At 57.7% G+C, this 24543-nt stretch overlaps 2 protein-coding genes across 3 annotated transcripts in view, besides 1 other annotated feature; one reads left to right on the plus strand and one right to left on the minus strand.

Moving 5' to 3' along the window:
- The window catches only part of PYGB (glycogen phosphorylase B), a 49928-nt gene that overhangs the window by 22428 nt on the left and 2957 nt on the right, over positions 1–24543 (plus strand). The window contains exons 4-18 of one of the 2 annotated variants that reach the window (NM_002862.4): positions 871–974; positions 4080–4211; positions 6134–6245; positions 6732–6814; positions 7807–7950; positions 8545–8637; positions 9754–9900; positions 10437–10600; positions 11521–11635; positions 12664–12765; positions 13592–13739; positions 17913–17971; positions 19969–20110; positions 21894–22101; positions 23646–23780. In NM_002862.4, the coding sequence (NP_002853.2) occupies positions 871–974; positions 4080–4211; positions 6134–6245; positions 6732–6814; positions 7807–7950; positions 8545–8637; positions 9754–9900; positions 10437–10600; positions 11521–11635; positions 12664–12765; positions 13592–13739; positions 17913–17971; positions 19969–20110; positions 21894–22101; positions 23646–23780 (1888 nt within the window). Of the gene's footprint in view, positions 1–870; positions 975–4079; positions 4212–6133; positions 6246–6731; positions 6815–7806; positions 7951–8544; positions 8638–9753; positions 9901–10436; positions 10601–11520; positions 11636–12663; positions 12766–13591; positions 13740–17515; positions 17972–19968; positions 20111–21893; positions 22102–23645; positions 23781–24543 lie in introns of those variants that run through there. The other variant, XM_047440342.1, reaches the window with a different exon arrangement.
- Positions 23568–24090: an enhancer, noted in NCBI's record as "H3K4me1 hESC enhancer chr20:25274716-25275238 (GRCh37/hg19 assembly coordinates)". NCBI's record gives its function as "activates a minimal SCP1, AML or CMV promoter by ChIP-STARR-seq in primed H9 embryonic stem cells {active_cell/tissue: H9 hESC(primed)}" and the evidence as "EXISTENCE:reporter gene assay evidence [ECO:0000049][PMID:30033119]".
- Positions 24231–24543, minus strand: part of ABHD12 (abhydrolase domain containing 12, lysophospholipase) — a 96093-nt gene continuing 95780 nt past the window's right edge. Inside the window, exon 13 of the mRNA NM_015600.5 lies at positions 24231–24518. Within this exon, the coding sequence (NP_056415.1) occupies positions 24461–24518 (58 nt within the window). The 3' untranslated portion in view covers positions 24231–24460. The remainder of the gene's footprint in view (positions 24519–24543) is intronic.

Consider the following 24543-nt stretch of genomic DNA (forward strand, 5'->3'; position numbering starts at 1 on the left):
TTTAATAAGGTTGCATCTCACTGTGCCCAGGCTGGAGTGCACTGGCACAATCTTGGCTCACTGCAGCCTCAACCTCTTGGGCTCAAGCAATCCCCCAACCCCAGCCTCCCGAGTAGCTGGGACCACAGGCATGCGTCACTATGCACAGCTAATTGTATTTTTTATAGAGACAGGGTCTCACTATGTTGCCCAGGCTGGTCTCAAACTCCTGGACTCAAGCGATCCTCCCACCTCGGCTTCCCAAAGTGCTGGGATCACAGGTGTGAGCCACCACTCCTGGCCTCTAAATCTTTATTCAAAACATTGTTTTGTTTTGTTTTTCTTTCAAGACGTTTTGATTGGAACAAGGGCTGGATTTAATGACACGTGCTATAGCGCCTTGGGGCCCCTGGTACTGCGGTGTTTGCACAGGTGGACATTGATTTGTATGCAGCCAGCTGCCACTGCTGTGCCGGCTTCACTCAGGAGTAGGGTGAGGCTTGATGTGTTGATGTGTCCCTGCTGTCAGAACAGCCTGGGTTTCAGTGGAACGTGCAAGGGATTGGCGAGGCCTCAGCCTCAACTGGGATGTCTGAGAGTGGGGCAGTGGGGGGCTTCGTGCTTGGAGAGGTTCCAGGCCTGGCCGAGTTCTCTAGGATTCTTCATCCCCCCCCATCCTCCCACGCCCTTCGAGTAGCCACCACGTTGATGTCTTCTGCCTGTGGCCCCAGGCTCTCATGGAGAGGCTGAGGGCTCCAGTTTTCCTCTCAGTGAAGCCTGAAGTCAGTGTGATCCCCTCTGAATTTCTGCCTTGCGCCCTGTGGGCTGCCTCCGCATGGGACCTTGGTGCCGTGCCTTTGATTCTGACTGATTTGTGATTGATTTTTTCAGCGTGTTTCCTTGACTCAATGGCTACCTTGGGCCTGGCAGCATACGGCTATGGAATCCGCTATGAATTTGGGATTTTTAACCAGAAGATTGTCAATGGCTGGCAGGTGGGTGAGATTTCATTTCTTCACTGGTTTCCAGCTCTCGTTCACACAATAAAATGGCAGCACTTGCAGTTTGTCTTTTTATACTTCCCACGCCCCCGCCAGGGGACTGCAGGCCGGCCAGGGCAATGTGGAGCAGGTCAGGGTAGCATCCTTGCTCCGGCTTCTTGGTCCACATGGCCTGGGAGAGCCTGGGCCCTGTGTGAGCTTTTTGCCAGCTGCCTCTGCCTGGTGACAGGGAAGTTGGGGCGTGCAGGACACAGAATCCTGGGTGAGCCTTACAGCAGCTCCCAGACAGGGCCAGTAGCAGCCGGGCAGTGAGGGTCACTCTGGTGACCCTCTGCACCAAAATGCAGAGTGCAGGGTGGTACTTTCGGGGTCAGCCTCAGTGGGATGTTGGCCCTAAGTAGTTAGAAGAGCAGTTGTAGCTTTTGCTCCCACCTTCTCCCTTCACTCCCTGACCCCAGTGAGGGGACAGTGTCCTTGGGGTTAGAGGCTGGACTCTGCATAGTACAGTGGCCCTTGGAAGGAGTGAGCCTCGATCTTGAAGCCTCACACTACAGCTAAGTGAGATGGTTGAGACCATGGCCGGGAGGAGGGCGTGGTCTTAAAATGCAACCTCCTCCTCCCTGGCGAGCAGCTCCCTTCCCATGTGCCTCAGAATGAAAGTCACCACTATTCCATTCGGTTAGAAAATGGTTTATTTAATATCATTTGGGGCCTAAAAGTCACAAATAAAGCTGGTCTGGGATTAGAATCAAAAGATTTGTAGCATCAGAATGTACAACCCCAATGAATGTGTGCATGACGGGTAGTAGAGATATCCTTGGGGTGGGAGTGGCAAGGGGGGTTGGGCCTCAACGGCAGGTGCAGCCTCCAGGGCTCGTCCATGGCGTCTGTAAGACTCATGTATCTCACCATGGAGAAATTAACCCAAAACATAAACGCAAGGAGCTGCTGTCCATGACACGCACAGCGATGCGTTTAGTGGGAATGTGGACTCATATCTGCAGCTTGCTTTAAATGCACCCCAAAATCAATGGATTGGTGGACGGAGAAACAACAGACCATTTACAGCACCTAGGTGTGGGTGCATAATGTTTCTGCATGTTTGAAAACGCTCATAATAAAATGTTGGTAAAGAAAAGAAATGGCTAAAAGTAACCTAAAACGGACTCGGATCCATTGCTTGATTTGTGGAGATGCCCTCTGCAACCTTAGAAAGGCGCCTTTCTCCACTGCCTCCGGACAGCTCTGCCCCAGCCCTCCGCGTGCCTGAGCTCCAGGGCAGTCCAGTCCATGCACATGTTGATGCTCTGATTCATTCTGGCCCCCAGCAGTCCCCATGTCACGTGTGGGTTTATAAGGCAGAAGCTCAGAGGCTCCCCTTCGCCTAGCTGGTGTTAGGGTTTCCAGCAGGAAGGTATTGGTGGTGGTTTTTGTTTTACCAGGGAGACATTTTTCCTTCTGGTGGTCCTCGTTCCTGTAACTCTTGCAACTTTGTGTGATAGTTTAGGATGATCAGTAAGTGAAGCTCACCCCTCCTCCCATCCCCTTTTCATGGGAACTGTTCAGATTCAGTGGGTTTTTAGTTGGCTTTAGCCATGGAAGAAGTAAATACAGGCAGGGTTGGCCAGCAGCATGTGGCCAGAGGGGCCGCAGGCCAGCCTGCTTGGCACCCTGGCCAAGGGGGCAGGGAGGCCCTGCAAGGGAGACTCAGGCTGCCTTTGTATGTGGGAAGCTGTTGCTTCTGCCGACGACTCCTGGACTAACTCTGCAGATGGCCAGGCCCTGGTGTTGGGGAATCTCACAGCGGACAAGGAGACGCCACCAGAAGGGTCTTGCTGGGAGTACCATGGGGAGGTGCCTGCTGTGCGGAGGGGCCTGCTGTGCGGAGGGGCCTCCGGAAGAGCACAGCCCAGACAGTCTTGCTCGTGACTCTTGGCGTCTGTGTAGGAACCATGAAGAGGAAATCCCTCAGTGTAGCATACTAGGGCTGCCTGTTCATTCTGAAGAGAAGAGACTTGATCTCATTTCAGTTTTAGTAATTGAGACTTCAGAATCCGCCCTTGCTGCTGTACCAGATGGAGTTACTCTGTCACGTGGTGGTAAAGCAGCCCCCTAGTGCTTCTGTGCAAGGGTGGCTCGAATCTGCAGGGCCGCTTTTAGTGTGGGGGTTGGTTTCATGTAGTTACTCGTCTCTAGTGCCACTGGGCACAGATTCTGGGAATAAGCTTCTTCTTGGAAGCCCTCCCGGAACAGCTTGTCTTCCTGGGTGCATCCAGGGCGTCCTCACTGCCAGCTGCCAACTTGGCCCCAGCACTTGCGGATTTGCAGTGTCACTTTCTTTCTTTTTTAATTTTAATTTAATAATTTTTTTTTAGAGATAGGTCCTGCCCTGTCGCCCAGGCTGGAGTGCAGTGGTACAGTCATAGCTCACTGCAGCTTCGACCTTGTGGGCTGAAGCGATCCTCCCACCCTGGCTTCCCAGAGTGCTGGGACTGTAGGCGTGAGCCTCCGCCTGGCCAGTGTGTCCCCGTCAAAGCAATGTCTTCTAGTGATTCTTCTATAACAGCTTTATTGAAATAGAGAGTCGATTTCAGTATATTCAGAGTTGGATAACCGTCCCCACTGTCTATCTTGAGAACATTTTCATCCCTCCAGAAAGAAGCCCTGCACCAATTTGCAGTCACACCCAGCCCCTGACAGCCTCTCACCCGCTTTCTGTCTCTGTGCAGGTGCTTGTTCTGAACATTTTCCTGTAAATAGCCTCGTGTGATGCGTGGTATTTTTGTCTGTCCTCTTTCACTGAGTGTAGGTTTTTCAAGCTCCATCCAGATCGGAGCATGTGTCAGTCAGTGGTTCTTAGTGTCTTTCTTTTTGGGCACGTGTTTCTAAATTTTGAGTTTGTTACTTTAGTGTCCACTGTGTTCATTTTACCCACGTGGGCTTCGCCAGAAGTGGGAATCCCGACCTGGTAAGTGGCTGTAGGTAAATTTCAGTGCCAGGCACTGTGTGATCTCGACCGCACGGTCTGCTGGGTCCAGGACAGGGCGGTGGCCTGGGACATCTGCGCTGAGGGTGCCCTCACAGCTGGCTTCTTTCCAGGTAGAGGAGGCCGATGACTGGCTGCGCTACGGCAACCCCTGGGAGAAAGCGCGGCCTGAGTATATGCTTCCCGTGCACTTCTACGGACGCGTGGAGCACACCCCCGACGGCGTGAAGTGGCTGGACACACAGGTACCTGGGCTGAAATGTCTGCGGGCAAGGCTGGAGCCAGGTGAGGGGGCTGCTGCGGCTCATTTGTAGACAGCTCAGCTTCTTTTGGCTTGGGGGGCTTGCTGCCTCCCTGGAGGACTTAAGGTAAAAGCCGGGGGAGGTTTATTCTCCTCACTCCCCAGTCTCTTACACTTTGATGGGAGCTTCCCAAACAGTGGAAGCGCTGAGCACAGCAGCGAGACTCCATGGGGGAAGCCCCGCTGGGCAGGAGCTGTGTGTTGGGGCTAAGAATGCAGCTGGGCGTCCACTCACAGCCAGATGCTCACGAGAACCCCGCTGCTTAAGGGCAGGCAGGAGGGTGTTCTGATGGGATGGGGGCACGGACCCCCAGGGTGGGCGAAAACAGCTCCCACTATCTCTGTGGAGCACACGACAAGCTCGCTTGGCCTCCTGGCGCCATACGTGGCCCATGGCTCTCAAAGCGTCAACTGTCAGAGCCCCTGGAGTGTGTGCGAGGCCTGGGTGACATCCGGGGATGGGGCCAGGCCCTCCTGCCCAGCAGGGTGCTGATGGGGAATCAGGGCAAGAGCCTAGAGTGCTCGGCAGCGACGGGTGCCAGGCACGCAGAGGCCACGTGAGGGAGCACCCAGTCCAGGCTCCGGGCAGCTGTAAGCCGGGATGACTGGGGCAGGGCAGGGGCTGGCAGGAGAGGCTGCAGGAGAACGTGGGGGCATCGGTGAGACTCAGCCACCTGTGATGGAGAAGGACGGGCAATAACAGGAGAGCCTGGAGGCTGGGTGGTCACTGGTGTGCAGAGGGAGTTGTCTTGACTTTGTAGGACACAGTTTTAAATCAAATACATGGGCTTCGAGTGGCTGGGGCCATGCCATGGAGGCTGAAAATGCCCTGAAAAGTTGTATTTAACTTGCAAGAGCAGGGTAGGGGACCGGCGCTGTAGATGTGTTTGTGGATGAGCATGTCAGTGTGAGTGGGGATGCTGGAGAACCGGGACATTCCAGGCAGGCTGTGAAGATGGGCTTAGCCCCGAGGCCTGGCCAGGATGGAAGGGGCTAGAATGCCTTGGCGGGGACTTGTCGCTCACTTGGGTGTCGCCTTGTGGGGCAGGGGCAAGGGTTGACAGGAGAGAGGAAGGGAAAGGGATACTGGGGTTTTAGTCTTGGTGGCCCCGGTGCGCCGCCTGTGTGGCTGTCAGAGCTGACTGGCAGTGCCACAGGCACGTGTGTGCCGGGATGAACCCAAGCATCCCTGAGTGCGCCTGCCGGGGAGCTGGGACCACAGGTGAGCCTCAGCTTTGTGAGCCCCCTCCTGCCCTTGGTGGTAGCGGAGCTGATGTCTCTGGATGCAGGGGAACCTGGGGGCTTGTCAAGGAGAGAGGGAGCCAGGCTGGGGTGGAGGGAGCGCAGCTGGGCTTGTGCTGGGGGGCTGGGAACATGGAGGGTAGCAGGCAAGGCAGCTGCAGGAGCAACCTTCCCGCAGGTGGAGCTGAGAGAGGTGATCTGCGGGGCAAGCATCTGCGTGTTGGAGTTGCTAGAGCAGAGTTGACTGAGGAGGGGAGGCGCGGAGGGCAGAGGGTAAGGAGGGAGGTGGGGGTTGGTGCTGCAGCACCTCAGGGAGTCGGGATGGGGATGATTCTTCAGTCAAAGCCATTCCTGAGGAAGGTCAAGTGAGAAGATAGGTCTGGTCTGGGGAGGGTGGTGGGACGGGTGGTCCTCTCAGGATGACAATGTGGGCACCACAGGGGAGGGCGTGGACGGAGACTGTGGTGCCGAGCATGGGCTGGGTGGATGTGTTTGGGCAGAAGGGGGAGACGGTGGGGGGCCAGCAGGGCGCCAGGTGCCCAGGAGGAGGCTGGGCCGGGGAGAGGCACAGGGGCCGGCGGGGGCCCTTGCCACTCCGTCCTGAGCAACCCGTTTTGTGGCCAGGTGGTGCTGGCCATGCCCTACGACACCCCAGTGCCCGGCTACAAGAACAACACCGTCAACACCATGCGGCTGTGGTCCGCCAAGGCTCCCAACGACTTCAAGCTGCAGGACTGTACGTTCCGTGGTTCTTGGCACCCTTGTGTCCATGTGGGTGGCTGGTCCCAGACACCCTCGCCCACAGCCTTTACCGCGCCCTGTGGCTCACTGTCCTGGAGGCCGCGCGGCCCTCCTCTAGGGTGTCCCTGCGTCCCAGTGAAGAGCGAGGCTGGTGCAGCTTACCTGTGTGTGGGGCCTGCCCGGGAAGGGCCTACAGGCAGAGCGACCAAGACACCTGGGCCCTGGGCACCCAGGGTCACCTTGTGCAGATCATGTGCCCCTGGGGAGGAGTGAGGGGGATGGAGTTGTGTGCGGTACATAGGGGAGCTGCAGGAGGGATCACGTTTACCTCCAGGGATGGGGGTGAGGGGAAGTAATGCAGCGGCTGGGGGAGTCCTGTGCTCGAGCGAGTTTCCTTGGCCTTTGCAAGTAGGCCCCTGAGCGGTTGCAGTGCTGGTGCCAGGAGGCATGTGTGTGTTGACCCCGCTCCATTTCTTCTTAGTCAACGTGGGAGACTACATCGAGGCGGTCCTGGACCGGAACTTGGCTGAGAACATCTCCAGGGTCCTGTATCCAAATGATAACGTGAGTAGCTGGCCTGGGCACTCTTGCTCAGGCCGTATCGCTTTCTGGCATAGAGAGGTGGGCTGGCTGGCCGGGCTCCCCAGTGGGGCCTGCTGTTGGCCTTGGCAAGCAGCCACCTGGTGGCCCTCTCGCCTTAGGTGCACACACGATGCCCTTGGGGAGGAGAGGGTGCACTGTCCTCCATAAAGCCCAAGCGGCTCTTCGTGTGCCTCTTGGCAGCTCTGTGGTCCTCTCTCCGAGGACACTCTCTGCCACCTTCCCCTCTTATCCACTCCCCTCATAAACACACAGCCGCTCCTTGGGGCCAGCTGGAGCCCGTCAGCCCTCCAGTCTGTGTGCTGTTCTAGCCTGCAGTGCCACTTCCCCAAGCAGGTGATCTGTCTGTCCAGGGGACCGTAGCGCCTACTTGGCATTGATGCCTGGGGACATTTGAAAGGTCCTTGGCACATGCCCTTCCCATACTAGGTGATGGTGTCGCAGCCATGTTCCCCACTGCCACCTGCATTTAGTGCCCAGTGGCTTTCTTTTTGTTGTTGTTGCCTGACAAGTCCTTAGAAGATGCCCTAGTGGGCAGAGCATGTTTAAAAGTGAGCTTTTTGTTTTATGAAAGTAACCTGTGCACACAGGAGCAAAGGCCTGGGTGCCGGAAGGCTCATCAAAGAGTGCACTCCCCTGTCCCCATGAGACTGTTGGCAGACCCCAAGCCCCAGGTACAGAATGTTCCAGAAGGCCTGTGCTTGGACAGTGCAGCTCCTGAGCAGCGCTGGCACTGTACTTCTGACGGATGGACACTGTGTCCCGGGGTGTGTCCCACAGGCGGGGTTACCTTCCTCAGTGACCTGAGGGCACACAGGCAGGCCCCAGTGTCAGGCAGCTGGGCTGGGCTCCTCTCGGCCTTCTGCCTGCACCTTTGAGCCAGGTCGCTGACCTGGGCTTCCTGGGGGAGGAGAATGGCCCAGCCTGCACCCTCCAGCTTGCTCTGCTGTGTGCAGTTCTTTGAGGGGAAGGAGCTGCGGCTGAAGCAGGAGTACTTCGTGGTGGCCGCCACGCTCCAGGACATCATCCGCCGCTTCAAGTCGTCCAAGTTCGGCTGCCGGGACCCTGTGAGAACCTGTTTCGAGACGTTCCCAGACAAGGTGCATGGTGGCCCTGGGAGGGATCTCAGTGCCAGGGGCTGGGCGCCTTCAGGCTCTTGAGGTTGCTTTCTCATGTCCCAAAAGGGGCTAGAGTGGAATGGTACATGCCCCTTGTCTTGGGGTCTCGTCATTCTGGGCCAGGATCCCACCTGGGCCCTCCCTTCCAGAACAAGGGCCACCGGCCTTGTTAGGAGTCAGGTCAGCAAGGGACATGGTGAAAGGCTCCTGTGCAAAGTCAGATGTGCTGGGCAGGCTAAATGGGGTTATTCCAAACAAAGCCCTATAGTTCCAGTGAGAGAGCCCCCAGCCCCGGTGGCCACGGCTCCTCCCCTCCGGCTGCAGCACATACCCGCAGCAGAGCACACAGCTGTAGGGCACTCACCAGCAGGCACATCGGGCACAGCGCACACCTGCCACAGTGCGAGCCCGACTGTCCTCCCTGCTCCCTCCACAGAACCCCTCCCTGTTCTCCAGGCTTCTCGGGGGTGGGGTGGGCTGGGCTGGCTCCTTCACTTGGGGAGCTTCGTATGCCAACAACCGTGGGTGCCCACGTGGGATGAAATGACTGAATGGCACCCCTTGTGCGACCTTCAGGTGGCCATCCAGCTGAACGACACCCACCCCGCCCTCTCCATCCCTGAGCTCATGCGGATCCTGGTGGACGTGGAGAAGGTGGACTGGGACAAGGTGAGCATGGAGGAAAAGGGCGGCACCTCCCCAGAGCCTGGAGCCCGTGCAGACCAGGGCTACAAGGAGCTGAGCTGGGGGGCCTCTTCCCTGGCCTTGGGAGAGCTGTGTGGTCATCATGCCCAGGAGAGACGCGAGCTGTGGGAGGGGTCTGGTTCCAGGAGACGGAGGTTCCGGGGGCCAGAGTATGGGGTCAGGGCGCGGGGGAGATGATAAGGATAGGGCTGTGACACTTCTCAGGGTTTCCCGTTGGTGCATTCTCATCTTGAAATTTGGTGACAGCTCCCCAAAGCGTTAAGTGTTTAGAGGTCTGTGCTCTATTCATGCACCTGCCCTCGCGATTCAGTGTATTTTGGACTTAAATATGTTTGTGTGGTAGGATTTTCTTAATCTAACCGTTACCAAATCAACATGTGGAACCATAAAACAGGCCAATGTGGTGACTCACACCCGTAATCCTAGTGCTTCGGGAAGCCAAGGCAGGAGGGTTGCTTGAGGCCGGAAGTTAGAGACCAGCCTGGGCAATACAGCAAGACCCCACCTCTAAAAAAAAAGCCAGGTGTGGCAGCACACACCCAGAAAAATAAAACCAAAAGAAACCATAAAACGATTTTTTTTAACTCCGTTTTGTAGAAACCCAAGCCCCTCTCTGGTCTTGGGGTGTGTGCACTCCAGGTGAGGCTGTACCTGTTGTGGGTACCCCAGTTCTGGCCAGCATAGGGCAGGTCTGTGTAGTAACCAGTGTCCTCCCCACCATGTCTGGCCACTTTAGTGGAAATAAATAGAAAACTGCTCAATGGTCTGTCCGTTTACCAGTGACGGCAGAGTGTGAAGGTGACTCCAGGTAGCAGGCGATTGTGTCTTATTTGTGTGTGTGTCACGCACTGGACCATAATGTCACACTTCAGTGGGTTGCGTCAGCAGAGTGAGGGCTCTGGGCTGCGTGTCAGGCTTTCAGAGGGCTCCAGATCCACCTTGGAGAGCAGAGGGGACGGTGGCCCTTCCTGGGGTACCCAGCATCTGCCTGGGATCCTGGACGCTCACCCTGCCTAGGCAACTGGCCAGAGAGCTGCTTGTTTCTAAACAAACACATGGGAACATTCTCTAATGGCCTAGGCCTGGGAAATCACGAAGAAGACCTGTGCATACACCAACCACACTGTGCTGCCTGAGGCCTTGGAGCGCTGGCCCGTGTCCATGTTTGAGAAGCTGCTGCCGCGGCACCTGGAGATAATCTATGCCATCAACCAGCGGCACCTGGACGTGAGTGTGGGCCCAGCTGGCCGTGTAGGGTGGCGGCTACACCCATGCCAACGGCCCCCCACCTGGCCTGGGAGAGGAGGTGCTTTGCTCCTTGAACGAGGCACCCTCTGTTCAGCAGAGGATGCTTGGGGCTGGGGGCTGTCCCTTGGCAGAGCTATTGGCTGATCCCCACGCCTGGCCCACAGCCTCAGGTTCCTCTTTGTAAATTAAATTGCACGTCCTCTCCCTCAGACCCATCTTCCTCAGACAGCAGCCCTGTGGGTCCCTGGGCCGGGCTGGGCCCTTTCCTGGGCTGGGGAGTTGGGTGAGCGAGAGCCTCCTCCTCAAGCTGGGCCTGGGCTCTTGTGAGATGCCTTGGAGGTGCCTGCTGGGTCTGGGAGCACTTGAGGGAGGTCTGGCTGTCACAGCCCCAGAACTTCCCTGGAGGCAGCAGAGCTTCCCATGGGTGGTCATGGAGTGTCCCCTGGTCATGGGGAGTGCTGGGTCTCCGTGGGGCCTCCTGTGCCCACCCACCTGCCTCTGTGTTTTGGCACCAGCACGTGGCCGCGCTGTTTCCCGGCGATGTGGACCGCCTGCGCAGGATGTCTGTGATCGAGGAGGGGGACTGCAAGCGGATCAACATGGCCCACCTGTGTGTGATTGGGTCCCATGCTGTCAATGGTGTGGCGAGGATCCACTCGGAGATCGTGAAACAGTCGGTGTGAGTGGGGCGCTTGCCCGAGCGGGGCCAGCTCTGTCTGACACCCAGGCCTGCGTCTAGGACCATCCACCAAACACATGGACCCAGCTATATAGCATACAACCTGTGCCACTAGGCCCCTGCCTCCATAGGAATGACAGAGCTGCCCAGAACACCCTGTCAGGGTCACGCCTTGTTGTGCGTTCACCGACCAGCACACGGGGGCCTCTGGAGGGCTCTGGCTCTGCGGGCAACGGGGAGACGGCTTTGTCTCCTGTTGCTCTCCTGCGCCCCTGCCTTCCTGGGGGTCCAGTCGGAGGCTCTGCACCACTGGTCCACCTGCCGCTGGCAGGGCTTGGACAGGGCTTGAAGGTGGGATTCTTAGGTCAGATCTTGTTCTTGCCCCTCTTAGGTGGGGCGTGATCTAGGAATTACTCCCACTCTTTCACGTAGCATGTGCTGAGCACCTACTGTGAGTACTGAGCAGGCAGCAGCCGGCGGGAGCGGAGGCTGTGCCCGGGGCTGGGCTGCAGGCTCTGTGCGTGGCGCCCGCAGCAAGCTTCGTGTCGGGCCCCTCCCCAGTAGCTATGAGGAAACCGAGCGCAGCTTCTCAAGCCCTGAAGTCCTGCGGTCTCGGCTGTCATGACTTGGACACCTGTTTCCGCACGGACCGCTCTGGAGAATGGCCAGGCTCTAATGCCTGCAAGGTTGTGGTTGGGCAAACCGCACAGCCAGCCACAGATGCCCCGGGGTGCAGGTGCTGCCTTCGTATGGCTCCCAGAGCCTGCAGCTGCCGCGGTCACTCTGTTCTCCTTAGAAAACAGAACAGAACCACTGAGCTTGAGGGCTCCTGGGACCTCCTTAAAAGGACTTTAAGGTCTGTTGCTCACCTGGTGCAGGGCACAGCATTTGTGACAGTTCCCTGTTCTCTGTGTTTGCAGCTTTAAGGATTTTTATGAACTGGAGCCAGAGAAGTTCCAGAATAAGACCAATGGCATCACCCCCCGCCGGTGGCTGCTGCTGTGCAACCCGGGGCTGGCCGATACCATCGTGGAGGTGAGTCCCGGGCCCCACCCGTGCCTGTGGAGATGCCTGGGCTGAGAACCGCGGGCCATGTCATCAGCCCCTGCTGAGCGGTTGCTGAGTAGGCAGGAGTCTGTCCCTCACGTGTTGACCTGCAGGCTTCTGGACATGAGGGCTGAGCCCCTGAACATGGGCGCTGAGCTGGGCAGTCACCCATTGGGCCTGGCGGGTCCTGTGTGCGAGTTCAGAAGCCGAGCTTTAGGGAGGGCTGGGGTGTGGCTGAGTGCAGCCACGGGGCCACTGCAAAAGAGTCAAGAGGCAGCTGACTGCCAGCTAGGCTGGGCACCTATTTCCTGTTTGTATGTTGGCTCCTATGCAAGCTCCCTGAGGAAATGAGTGCTGAGGTGTCAGGCCCTGCGCTACAGGCAAGGACCAGCCGCTGGGAGGGTGGGACCGCCCACCTGGGGCTATGGTCAGGGAAGCCTTCCCAGGAAAGCTGAGGTCTGAAGAGGGAATGAAGAGAGAGTGAGCAGTGCTCTGGGGCAAACTGGTTCAATGCCCTGTGCTGGGGGACGGGCCCCTGGGACCTGGAAAGCAGCGTGGCTCCTGTGCAGTCTGAGATGGGCCTGGGTACAGTGAGGAGAGGTGGCCGAGTGTTTGCAGGCAGCACCTGGGTGAGGTGCTGGCTTTGAGGGGACCGCCTGCTTCAGGCAGGGAAGGTGCTGGTGGAGGGCAGCGGGAGGATGGCTTTGGGTTTTGGGTGGTGATGGGATGTTCAATGTCAGAGAACCCTGGGATCGGTGGCTGAGGGAGGGTCGTGTGTTTCCTGTGGACGTTTGAACTGGTGGGACTGGGCCATCTCGCAGAGCCCTCTCAGAAGAGGAAGGAGGGGCTGCTGGGGTAACCCTGTGGCCTGAGAGGTGGGATGCCCGGAGGGGCCGGACAAGCAGATCCCAGGGGAAAGCAGGGGCGTGGGCAACAATGGGAGGAGGGCAGGTGGCTAGGGGGCCCAGCCTCAGGAGGCTGAGGCCCACAGTGAGCGGAACCTTTACGTTCTCCAGAAAATTGGGGAGGAGTTCCTGACTGACCTGAGCCAGCTGAAGAAGCTGCTGCCGCTGGTCAGTGACGAGGTGTTCATCAGGGACGTGGCCAAGGTCAAACAGGTAGGCATGGCCCTGGCCCCAGCCCCGACCCCAGCCCTCCCACAACCAGGCAGGTAGGCCCTGGCCCTAGCCCTCCTACAGGCCCAGCACAGGTCCTGGGGTACCCACTGGGGCTTTAGTGGGGACTCAGAACAGGACTGAGGGTGAGGCTGTTAGGGTTGCCTGAGGTCTCTCCACCCCACTCAGCCTTTCAGATGAGGGCCCCGAGGAGGACAGGTCACATGGCAGATAGGTGAGTGCAGACCCCAGGCCAGCCCTGCCCGTGCCTCGACCCTCTGCCACAGGTCAGTTCTGTATGGAAGCCTCTAGAAGCCGATTCCAGCGTGGTACCCTCTTTGCCCCTGGAGAGCTGTGCAGGTGCACGAGCTGTCTGCACCGGCAGCAGCCTCTCGGCTAGACCAGGGCCAGTCACGGCAGCCTTCAAACCTCAGCGGGCTGGAGGCCCATCTACACAGCCTGTCGAGCTTGGCCTCCTCATAGAGGCCAGAACTAGTTCTCCTTGTAGTCCTTTCAGCCGTCCCGCTCCCGCGCTGCTCCGCCGCCTGCACGCCTGGCTCTGCAGTGTCTTCTGCTTGGCTCCAGGCGTGCTCCTGGGCCGGCTCCTCACTTATCCCCTACTCTTGGTGTGGACCCACCTTCAGCATCCCCCTCTCCCCTTTTCCCATGAGAAGACCCCTGGTGCAATCTCTGCCCCTCAGCTCCAGCCTGTATACCCCTGCCCCCTCCCTGCGGCACTCTTCACAGGGCACTTGAAGCAGGAAGCCGCAGGGTCAGTGGATGGAGTCCTGGTGAAGTCTCCAGCCATCTTTCCCTTTCACCCTCCCAGGAGAACAAGCTCAAGTTCTCGGCCTTCCTGGAGAAGGAGTACAAGGTGAAGATCAACCCCTCCTCCATGTTCGATGTGCATGTGAAGAGGATCCACGAGTACAAGCGGCAGCTGCTCAACTGCCTGCACGTCGTCACCCTGTACAATCGTGAGTGCCGGCATCACCTGCATGACCGCGCTGTGGGGCCCAAGGCTTGCCCTTGCCCGCCAGCTGTGCACAGACCCTGGGCCTCTGTCATGGTGGGGGCTGTGTGTGTATAGGCGTGTGCATGTGTGATGTGGCACGTTTATTTTAAGCAAAAGCCATGTTTTTCTGTGTGCCCCATGCCAGGCCTCACGTGAGCAGGTGAACAGTTAGACACCCGAAAGGCCCAGGCTGGAGTGCAGTGGTGCCATCACGGCTCACTGCAGTCTTGACCTCCAAGGGCCCAGGAAATCCTCCCACCTCAGTCCCCCAAGTAGCTGGGACTACAGGCGCACGCCACTATGCCCTTGTATTTTTTGTAGAGACAGGGTTTCACTATGTTGCCAAGGCTGGTCTCGAACTCCTGGCCTCAAGTGATCTACCCACTTCTGCCTCCCAAAAGGCTGGGGTTATAGGCATGAGCCACTGTACCGGGCCTTCAGTTTTTATTTTAAATTTAGTTATTATCTTTGTGAGACTAATCTTATTTAGAAAGATTATGCTTATTAGAGGCATTTAAAGTATACTTACAAAAATTAAGATAGTATGTGTTAAATTTACACATGCATCTTATATGTCTAAGGACATTTAATTATGAGACAAACATGAAACAGAGACCCCCAAAGGTCAATGTGAATATTTGCTAGGTTTAATAGATAATGAAACCTTAAGGAAAAACTAGGTTTCTAAAATTTTGTAATTTAATAAAGTAGGTATTTTAAAAACCAAAGGAACCACACATCCTCCTTTCCGATACAAAGCTCCTCCCGGGAATAGATCTCCTATTCCCAATGAGTAAGCCTCGATGGGGTGGAGGATCTGGGTGCGTTTGAGACACACATGGTAGGACAGAGGCTAGAGGCCACCCCCGCTGAGGACCCCTCTGCCGTGTGGGCACCACGGGAGGTGCTTCCCGGGGCTGTGGCTTCCCGGCTCCGAGATGGTGCACGGGAACTTTGCATCATCTTTCCTTGCCCCATTTTCCTCCTGCAGTTGTGATGCTCTGTGTTCCCCTGGTGGTGACCCGGAGTCCTCCGCTTGCACAACGCTTGGTCCTATTGATGAGCGGCAGTGAGACTCGCGGGTCACCCCCTCCCTTCCTCCCGCTCCACCACCCCCACAGTCAGTTGCTGCATCGTCTTTTAGTGTTGGCCTTCAGGCTTTCCTCCTCCCGCTCCGCCACCCCCAGTCGTCAGTTGTTGCATCGTCTTCTATTGTTGGCCTTCAGGCTTTCCAGATGCTCCACTTCTGCTTGGTTGGTTCATTCGTTTTGAACGACACGCTGTGATTTCCAGCCGTTCACAGGAGGCAGCCAACAGGCTGGTGCTCGCTCCCACTGGTCTTCCCCCTTGCTCCATGTCTGTGTGTGCACGCATAAATGTATATGTGTGCATGCCTGTAAACATGTGTGCTTGTGTCTGTGCATGTACCTGTGGTGGACCTGCGTCTCCTTCCCCCACTGTCAGAGCTCACAGCATCAATACTTTGCCCTTCCTCCTGTCCCCAGCTGTATCAGTTTGAGTCTGGTGGTGAGTATGTTCACTGCTTCTCACGGTCCTTCTGCAAAGTGCTGCCCAGCCCTGCTGGCCACTTTGTGTCTAGTTCATGACTGGCTCATGGGAACAACCTTCCCGAGTTCTTGCTTGTTCAAAACGGCCTGGACCCTTCACCATGAAGGTCGGTTTGGCTGAAGATGCCAGTCTTAACTCCACTTCCTTCCCCCAGTGCTTTTTAGGGCCCTACCGGGCACTGTCTGGAGGGTGGGTGTGTGTGCAGAAGTCTGGCGATGTCTGAGTTCTCGATCTCATCAGTGACTCACTGTCATTGCCGTGTCTTGGTGTTGGCCGTTACAGGGCATTTTCGCCAATACTCCGGGTGCTTGTTGAACGTGTTGCTGGACTTCAGGGAAGTTGTCTGTTTGAAACGTGTGTTTGGTTCTGTTTGGTTTTCTGCTTCTGGGCTGCAGTGTGGCGTGAGGTGGCTTTCTCTGGCCTTCTTCCTTGGTGCCTACTTCTCTCAGGACTTGGTTTGTCCTTGTCCTGTGGAGTGGCACTGCTCTCTGGAGTCTCTGCCGGCTGCACTCTCCTCCCGTGCCCTCTGCTCCTCTCCTCTGCTCTCTGCCCCCCTCCCTGAGGACTTGGCATTTGGCTCCATGTCTTTCCAAGTTGGTGGTCACCAAGGGTATGTGATTTGCGAAGGGGTTCACTCCCCTCCTGTGGCCTGTGGCGGGGCTGGGTGCTGACTTCCATTGCTACGTTGGTGTGAGCTGGATCACCTGGGGCTATTCGGAATAGGCTTCTCAGCCCTCCAAGGCAGCTCCTCTGCTGGGCCAAGGCCATGCTTCCCCAGCCTGTGGCTGCGCCTCTGCTGTCTCTCCGGGTCTCACCTGGGCGGGAGGCTCCTCTGGAGGCCAGGACCTGCCTTGTGAGGGTGCCCTTGTGGGAGAGGCGCTTGCCCAAACCTGCTGTTCCCCGGGGGCTCCTTGGTGGCCCCCAGGACTGGAGCTCTCTGCCCAGAGTGCCCCTCCCCAGAGGTTAGGACTCCCATGACCCTGTCCCCTGCCCACTGTGACCTGGGGTTTGCATGGTTTCCTTCTTTCCTAGTTGTGGTGAAATCATCACTTGTGTGTTTCGTTTTTCCTGTTCTCTGCTGATTTCCAGAAGTGACAAGATCCAGCATTTAAGGGGCAGCTGCATTCCTCCTGGAGCCTGGGGCTGGGTGGTACACATCAGCCCGACTCCCTGCTGCCTCACCCAGGCCCGGCTCGCTGGTGAACGCCTGTCCAGGGTGGCCGCTCATCCCCTTTTTGTAGGAACCTCCCGTGAAATCTGCAAACAAATGACCTGGCGAGGACAGCCTGTTTGCTGGGCTGGCAGTGAGCCGGCCGTCATGGCTTGACCCTCCATCCACTTCTGTGAAGAACTTTGGGGGCCCTCACCCGCTGTCCCAGTGAGGCAGAGGGGAGACACAAGGTCTCACCCAGCGCCCCTGCAGGCTGATGGCACCACAGCCACAAGGCTGAGGTTGCCACTTTTTCTTTGTGTCATCCAAACAATGTGTTTAAAACACAATTTAAGGCCAGTGTGGTGGCTCACCCCTGTAATCCCAGTGATTTGGGAGGCTGAGGCCTGATGACTGTTTGATGCCAGGAGTTTGAGACTGGTCTGGGCAAAAAAGTGAAACCCCATCTGTACTAAAAGTGAAAAAATTAGCTGCATGTGGTAACCTGTCGGTGCCTGTAGTCGCATCTACTTGGGAGGCTAAGGAGGGGAAGATCACTTGAGTCCAGGAGTCTGTGGCTGCTGTGAACCCGGATTACACCACAGTACTCCAGCCTGGGTGGCAGAGCTAAACCTTAACTCTTAAAAACAAAAACAAACAACAACAAAAAAAACCCAAGAGTGGTAGAGTGCGAGGCGCGGTAGCTCACGCCTATAATCCCTGCACTTTGGGAGGCTGAGGCGGAAGGGTTGCTTGAGCGTGGGAGTTTGAAACCAGCCTGGGCAATGTAGAGAAACCCTCATCTCTACAAAAAATTAAAAAATTAGCTGGGCGCAGTGGCACGTGCCTAGGATCCCAGCTACTCAGGAGGCTGAGGTGGGAGGATTGCTTGAACCTGGAAGGTAGAGGCTGCAGTGAGCTACGCTTACACCACCGCACTCCAGCCTGGGCGACAGAGTGAGCTGCTGTCTCAAGAAACAAAACCAAACAAAACCCACAAGTGTGCCCTTCATGTACAGGGGCCTTGAACACTGGTGACCAGACCCAAGGAGGCTCCTGTGTTGGGCTTTTCTGGAAACTGAGGTGCAGCTTTTCCTCTGAGCCCCGGGGAATAGCATCTTTGCTCGAGTCAGCTGCTGGGTTCGTCCATGGTCCTGGCTGGCCTTCCTCACCAGCGGGGAACCTAAGTGCAGACCTCAGGGTGGCCTCACTCCCTTGTAAGTGGCAGGTTCCTGGTGGGTGGGCAGGTGGGTGGCCAGTGGCCCTGTGCCACTGTCACCCGTGTCTCTGGGGCTTGAAGTACATGGCGGAGCGTGCCTGTCCTGCCTCAGGGTCGGCCTCTGATGCTGCTGGGCCCCAGCAGGGGCTCGTCCGGCTCGCGGTGCCTTGTGTGAGTCTCTTCCGTGTGTCCTGCAGGAATCAAGAGAGACCCGGCCAAGGCTTTTGTGCCCAGGACTGTTATGATTGGGGGCAAGGTGAGTGACTTCCTCTGCAGTCCTCTCTGTGGTGTTTGGTCTGGGGATAGTGGGTGGGCAGCCTGCACGCTTCTCATGGTGCCACCACATCCATACTCGGGAACCGGATGCCCAGCGGTCACCGGCCCCTCTGGTATGCCTGTGGGGGTGGGGACCCTGTAGAGAGTCAGAATGGGATGGAAGCCTCCTGCCTGCCCAGCTCACTGGAGGGGTCCCCAGCCTAGAGGGCCAGTCCCCAGTGGGCTTGCTGGTGCCCACCTCAGAGAGGGCAGTGTCCTTTCTCTTTGTGCCCAGTGGGCACAGGGCGTTGTGGCTGCTTCATCACCTGCACATGCCCTGAGCATTGCCTGGTTTCAGTTCACTTTATTTACTATGACACATACTTTCAGAGTCCTAGATGTGCTGTCATCGAGTCCCAGGTCACATCGTCACACTCATCAGCCCTCTGCGGCCAGTGTCCCCACCTCCTGCCATGTTTCCCTAGTAGCTTGGTCTTTATCCAGAACTGTGAGGCTGCTGTGGGGTGCAGCGTCCTTAGGAGGGTCCTGCTGGAGCAGTGGCCCTAAGTGAGTCTGGACTGTGTGAGGCACCCCAGCCCTCCACGGCAAGGCCGGGGCCTGGGGGTGCTGGTGCCTGTGTGCAGCCTGAAGGCTGCCCTCTTGCTGCCTTCAGCGAGTGGGAAGCTGGTCAGAGGGGTGGGCACTCCTCTGGGCTCCGCCACCTCCTGGCACACCCCATTTGGTCTCTGTCCACTCCTGTCACCTGCTGTTTTTGAAGCAAATTTTGGAATTGTGTCATTTTATTTGTCAGTATTTCAGTATGTAAAGTCCATAGAGATACGGAGTTCGAAAAAGTTTTAAATGTTATTATGAAAATTTTAGGCTGGGCACGGTGTCTCACGTCTGTAATCCCAGCACTTTGGGAGCCAAGGCGGGTGGATCGCATGAGCCCAGGAGTTCGAGACCAGCCTGAGCAGTGTGGTGAAACCCCATCTCTACAAAAAAGTGCAAAAATTAGCTGGGCGTGGTGGTTCATGTCTGTAGTCCCAGTTACTTGGGAGGCTGAGTAGGAGGATCGATTGTCCTGGGTGATTGAGGCTATAGTGAGCTGTGATTGCACTACTGCACTCCAGTGTGGGCAGCAGAGCCAGACCCTGTCTCAGCAAAAAAAAGAAAAAAAAAAGAAGGAAACATTTGAACCTGGAGAAAAGCAGGAAGAATTGTAGCAAAACCATAAACCTGTCACCCAGACTAGCTGAAGCATTTCACAGTAAACTGCAGACACTCTAGCTCTTCACTCTTACATACGTCAGCATTCCTTTTCATAAAATGATGTTTTCCACCAGAACCACAATGGGAGTAGACTGAAACATCACCACACAGTACCACCATCCGTCACACCTAAAGCATTGGACAGGAGTCCTCCGTGTCCTGAAATGTTCACTCGGGTACTTCATGGGTCCCCTGCCCAGTTGTCTTTGTAAAGTAACAGACATTTCTAAAAGTTGGTCTGAGTGAGGGCCCAGTGAGTCCTCACCTTGGACTGGCCGTGGTGTCTCAGTTCTCTGTAGGTTTTCCCCACAGTCTGTCTGTTACAGACATCGGGTTGTCTGTCCGCCGTAGCCTGGCTCTTTCCGAATGTGTCCCTCCAGTGTGTCCCAGTATGTCCCTAGGGACAGTTCTCTGTTTCCTGTCAGTCGGCAGCTCTAGAAATCCTGGTCTCTTTTACCTTGTAATTTCTGAAAACCTAACAACAACCAGAAAACCAGACTTGAGGCGGACACGTTTCTGGATGTGGCGAGGTGGCCACCATCGTGAGTGCGCAGCAGAGCTGGGGCCTTGGGGCCGGGGAGCCTCCCTAGCTCCTCTACTGACCGTCCCGACGGCAGGTTCCTGTGGCTCTAGCCTCACCCCCCTACAGACCCCAGGAACCAGGAGCGCCTCCAAGGGCCTGAACAAGGCATTTTTGTGCTAAAAACCTTCACCCTCTCCTTCCAGGCAGCGCCCGGTTACCACATGGCCAAGCTGATCATCAAGTTGGTCACCTCCATCGGCGACGTCGTCAATCATGACCCAGTTGTGGGTGACAGGTTGAAAGTGATCTTCCTGGAGAACTACCGTGTGTCCTTGGCTGAGAAAGGTAACCCTGGAAGCCTGTGTTGGACAGAAAACTCACTCCTGCCGGGGAACGGGCGTTGTACTGGCCCCGGGCCTTTCATCCTCAGCCAGTTCAGCTCTGCCTGGACACCCAGACCTAGCCAGCCGGGCTGCAGGCGAGCAGGGAACGGCTTTAGGGAGTGCTCCCCGTGCAGTGCGGAGGACTCACAGTGCGTCCCGGGGCGCCTTGCATGTCACAGGCAGTGTCATCCCCCAACAGGGCACCCTTACTGCCGCGCCTGCCTGGCCTGCCCTCTGTATCCTCCCTCCCCTGCCCTCTCCTCCTGCCCCTCAGCCGTGCCTTCTGCCCTGGGCCCCTCTGCTGGCAGGACCTGCCTGGCCTGCCCTCTGTACCCTCCCTCCCCTGCCCTCTCCTCCTGCCCCTCAGCCGTGTCTTCTGCCCTGGGCCCCTCTGCTGGCAGGACATGCACCAGGCCAGTGGGGTTGTGGGCCCCCAGCTTCCCCCAACTCCACTGCCCCTCCTCCGCCCACATCCTTGCTCCTCACTGCCTGCCTGCTCTTGGGCCCACCAGTGATCTCAGGTGGCAGCACCTGCCTCATCTGTGCTTCCTGAGGGCAGCCTGGGCCAGTCCTGGGGAGACCCTGGGATGTGCTGCCATGTGCCCTGGAGCCCATCAGTTCCCACCCCTGTGGGCTCTACTGGGCAGGAAAGTGATTTGCCCACCAGATGGTGGGAGATCTGAGCCTGGCCTTCTCGTGCTCCCCTCCTGCCGCCGAGGGCCAAGGGCCCCCCCTAGTTCAGGCCGCCTGGGCTTCCCAGGCTGCCGCAGGTGAGAGGGCTGATCTGCTGTTGTTCTGCAAGCTCCGTGGTGCAGGGGGGGATCCCTGGGCACCGTCCCTGTGGCCTGGCTGCTGCCTTGGTGTCCATGTCGCTCCCCCTCTTTAGTGGTGCCTGGCAGGCGAGGTCCCTTGAGGCACTCACGGGCCGGCTTGCCTCCGGCTTGGCCAGGAACTGTGGCTCGTCCTTCCCTGCTCCTCTGACCGAAGCATCTCCTCTCCCCCGTGCTGCCTGAGGCTCCCCTCCTCCTATGTGTTTTGGGGCCAGCTGACTCCTGCTCATCTTTAGAGCAGGCCTTCAGGCACCTGGTCTGGAGTCTCGGTGCTGGCGTCAGGGCCCCGTTCTCCCCGGCAGTGTTGCTGTGGCTGACTGGGCTGCAGCCTGAGGTGAGGGTGGAGAGCAGGTTGTATAGTCAGTGTGTGCACTCACAGCGTGTCTGGGAGCGGTGACCAGTCCTGAGGGACAGGCACAGAGAAAGCGCAGGGCCGTGGCATCTGGCAGCTGCTGGCGCCCAGGAGGTCGCCACCCCTCAGCCGCTCCAGCCTTCTGGCTCTATTCTGGTCTACATTCCTCCTGAAAGGATCCAGGGAGCCGCTGGGGCTGATCAAGGTCGCGGTGATCCAGGGAACGACATTGTCAGCGAGCCAGGACTGGCTCCTTGGCTAGGCCTGGTTTTGGGGAAGGTTTTGGTGCACAGATCCTATGCCACCTGGCTCCTGAGGAGCCCCCATCTTGGACCTTCTGCCTCAAGGATGCCCCAGTCACGAAGGGGAGCCCTGCAGAGGCGGGTGGCCGTGTCCAGCCTGGGCCCCTGTGGGAGCGGGAGTGGGGGCTGGAGCGGGGCCACAGCATTGGTCCCTCCACGACCCAGCCCCGGGTGGATGGGCCGGCTTGTCCTGCAGTGAGCCTTGCGGCTGAGGACATTGGGGTCCTCACAGTGATCCCCTCCACGGGCTCCCCTCCACAGTGATCCCGGCCGCTGATCTGTCGCAGCAGATCTCCACTGCAGGCACCGAGGCCTCAGGCACAGGCAACATGAAGTTCATGCTCAACGGGGCCCTCACCATCGGCACCATGGACGGCGCCAACGTGGAGATGGCCGAGGAGGCCGGGGCCGAGAACCTCTTCATCTTCGGCCTGCGGGTGGAGGATGTCGAGGCCTTGGACCGGAAAGGGTGCGAGCCTGTGCCCCTGGGCACCTGGCACCGTGAGGATGGAGAATGAAGGGTGTTGGGCTGGGGGCATTGGCTGGACTGGGCTCTTGGGGCCAGGCCACTGTGTGCTAGGGTCAGTGCCCACCCAGGGCTGTGTGCCTGCCTGCAGGGGTGACCATTTCCAGGTGCATGGAATGGACGGGGTCCGGGCTGCGGGCGAGGCCCACGTGGGGGTGCTGGGCTGCTCCTGTCTCGGCTCTGAGGCTGAATCTGCGGAGTCCAGACCAGGGGCTCCTCCTCCAGGAAAGGCCTTTTCCCCTGGGGAGGGTCTCCTAGAGGGACACCCCCTGGGCACAGGCAGCCCCACAGAAATGGGCTGGGGCTGGGCAGGACCCCACTGCCAGGGGCGCTCTGCCGGGAGCACTCTGCTGATTTGGGGCTTGCCTGCTGTTGAGGTTCCCTGGTCTAAGTTGTAACTGTTAAAATTGTTTAAAAATAGTATTTTGGAAACATTTTAAATGTGTAGGCCAGGGTCGGGGGGGGTGGGGGAGTGGGGGGGATGGGGGGGTTGGGGGGTGGCAGAGGGGAGGAGGGAATCCTGAAGACAGCACCCAGAGCTTCATCCACCTTATCCCCGCGCCCCTCCGTTGGCTGCACTGAGCTCAGAGCACTGGCCCTCCTGCAGCCCACACTCCATTCCAACTCCACCGGGGTTCTGTTACTGTCTTTCCCATCCCAGGATCCCATCAGGGCACTCCACTGTGTGTGGCCGTCAGGTCTCCCCAGTGTCATTTGGTCTGTGACAGCTTCTCAGTTTTTCCTTGTTCTTCATGATCTGGACGTCATGAGGAATCCAGCACGGGCCTGATTCCAAGCGATAATTACAAAGAAAAGGCAGTGTTGCCTGATTGCCTTGAAGCACTGGGGAGCCTGTGAGGCCTTAAGTAGGGTCAGGTGAAACCACACATGCCATCTGAAGTCAGAGCTGTGCCTTGCTGGCCCGAGCACAGAGGCCTGTGCTCCCTTTCTGCGCCCTCACACAGCTTCTTCTGCCCGGGCCCCGTCCTGGGATGCCCATGTCTGCCCGTCCGTCCCTCTCCCACTTAGCTCTGCCTTGTCCTGTCTGGTCTTGCTTGCGTTTTTCCTTTTCCATCTTCGAGGTCCCAGCCAAGGTGCTCCATTTCACTTCCTGCCCCTCCGGCCGTCTGTTTTTCAAAAGCTCTGCCCAGGATTTCACAGTGAGCCAAGTTCTGAGTGGCCCTCTCCACTAGGAATGTGGCATCAGCCACTATGTCCTAGCAGATCTGCTAGTGATGACATTTCTTTAACAGTCAAAGGAGCAGGTGGGATTGGCTTTAGACTGACTTCACATCTCTGCTCGAGCAGGTCCCTGCTCAAGGGCCTCGTAACCACCCATGGCCACTGGCTGCTGCCCTGGACCGTGCAGGCCTTGAGCTCCCAGGGCCATCCTGGGGCAGGGGCTGTGCCAGGCACCAACATGGCTTGTTCTCCAAGGTGGCCCACCTGGGGCGCTGGCTGCTGACTCCTGGCCCATCGCCTCACAGGTACAATGCCAGGGAGTACTACGACCACCTGCCCGAGCTGAAGCAGGCCGTGGACCAGATCAGCAGTGGCTTTTTTTCTCCCAAGGAGCCAGACTGCTTCAAGGACATCGTGAACATGCTGATGCACCATGACAGGTGGGACCGACTTCCCTGGTTGGGTGGCTGGGAGGGAGGGAGGGAGGGAGGGGTCCTCTTCGTGGGTTGGATATTCCACCTTGTTTGGAGAGCAAAACCCGTGCTTTCAGGACGTCTTCTCCACTGTGCCCATGAGACCTTACTGGGCAGAGCCTTAGACCCCAGCTGGGAGTTTGCGATGGCCTCTGGCAATGCCAGGGGGCCCTGGGCAGCGAGACACAGCAGCACAGTCCAGCCCCCAGGCCTTGTGGACCAATGTGCTGAGCAGGAGGGGGTGTCCTCTGCTGGTTGGAGGTCCCAGGGGCAGCCGTGTCCCAGCAGGCCAGTAGAGGGAGCATGGGCCCAAAACTCCCTGGGGTGGGGTAGGGGGCGCACAAGGGCTGCGGAACCGCGGCAGGCGTCAGTGCCAGTGACAGGCAGTGGTGAAAATGGATTTCACTTGCAACGATGTGACATTATAATGTAGTTAGTGTTTTATTTCAGTGCAGTTAGCACATGGTATGGTTTATCTAGAGTTACAGACTTTGTAAGGTTTGCAGCTCAGGGCAGTTCTTCACCGTTGGCAAAAGTTGAATCCGGCGAGGGCTGGGAATTCACCTGCCCTCCACTTTCAGCTGCCTTTGGGTTAGTTTTAGTTTTGTCTGCTGCTCTTCGATGACCGTGTCACCTGTTGGCTTCAGTCACACCAGCTCTGACCACATGCTGGGATCTGGGCTGGAACCTGGGCCCTGCTGAGGTCTGTGATAAAGGAAGTGCTTTTAAA

This window comes from Homo sapiens, chromosome 20 (assembly GCF_000001405.40).
Source record: "Homo sapiens chromosome 20, GRCh38.p14 Primary Assembly".
NCBI lineage: Eukaryota > Metazoa > Chordata > Mammalia > Primates > Hominidae > Homo > Homo sapiens.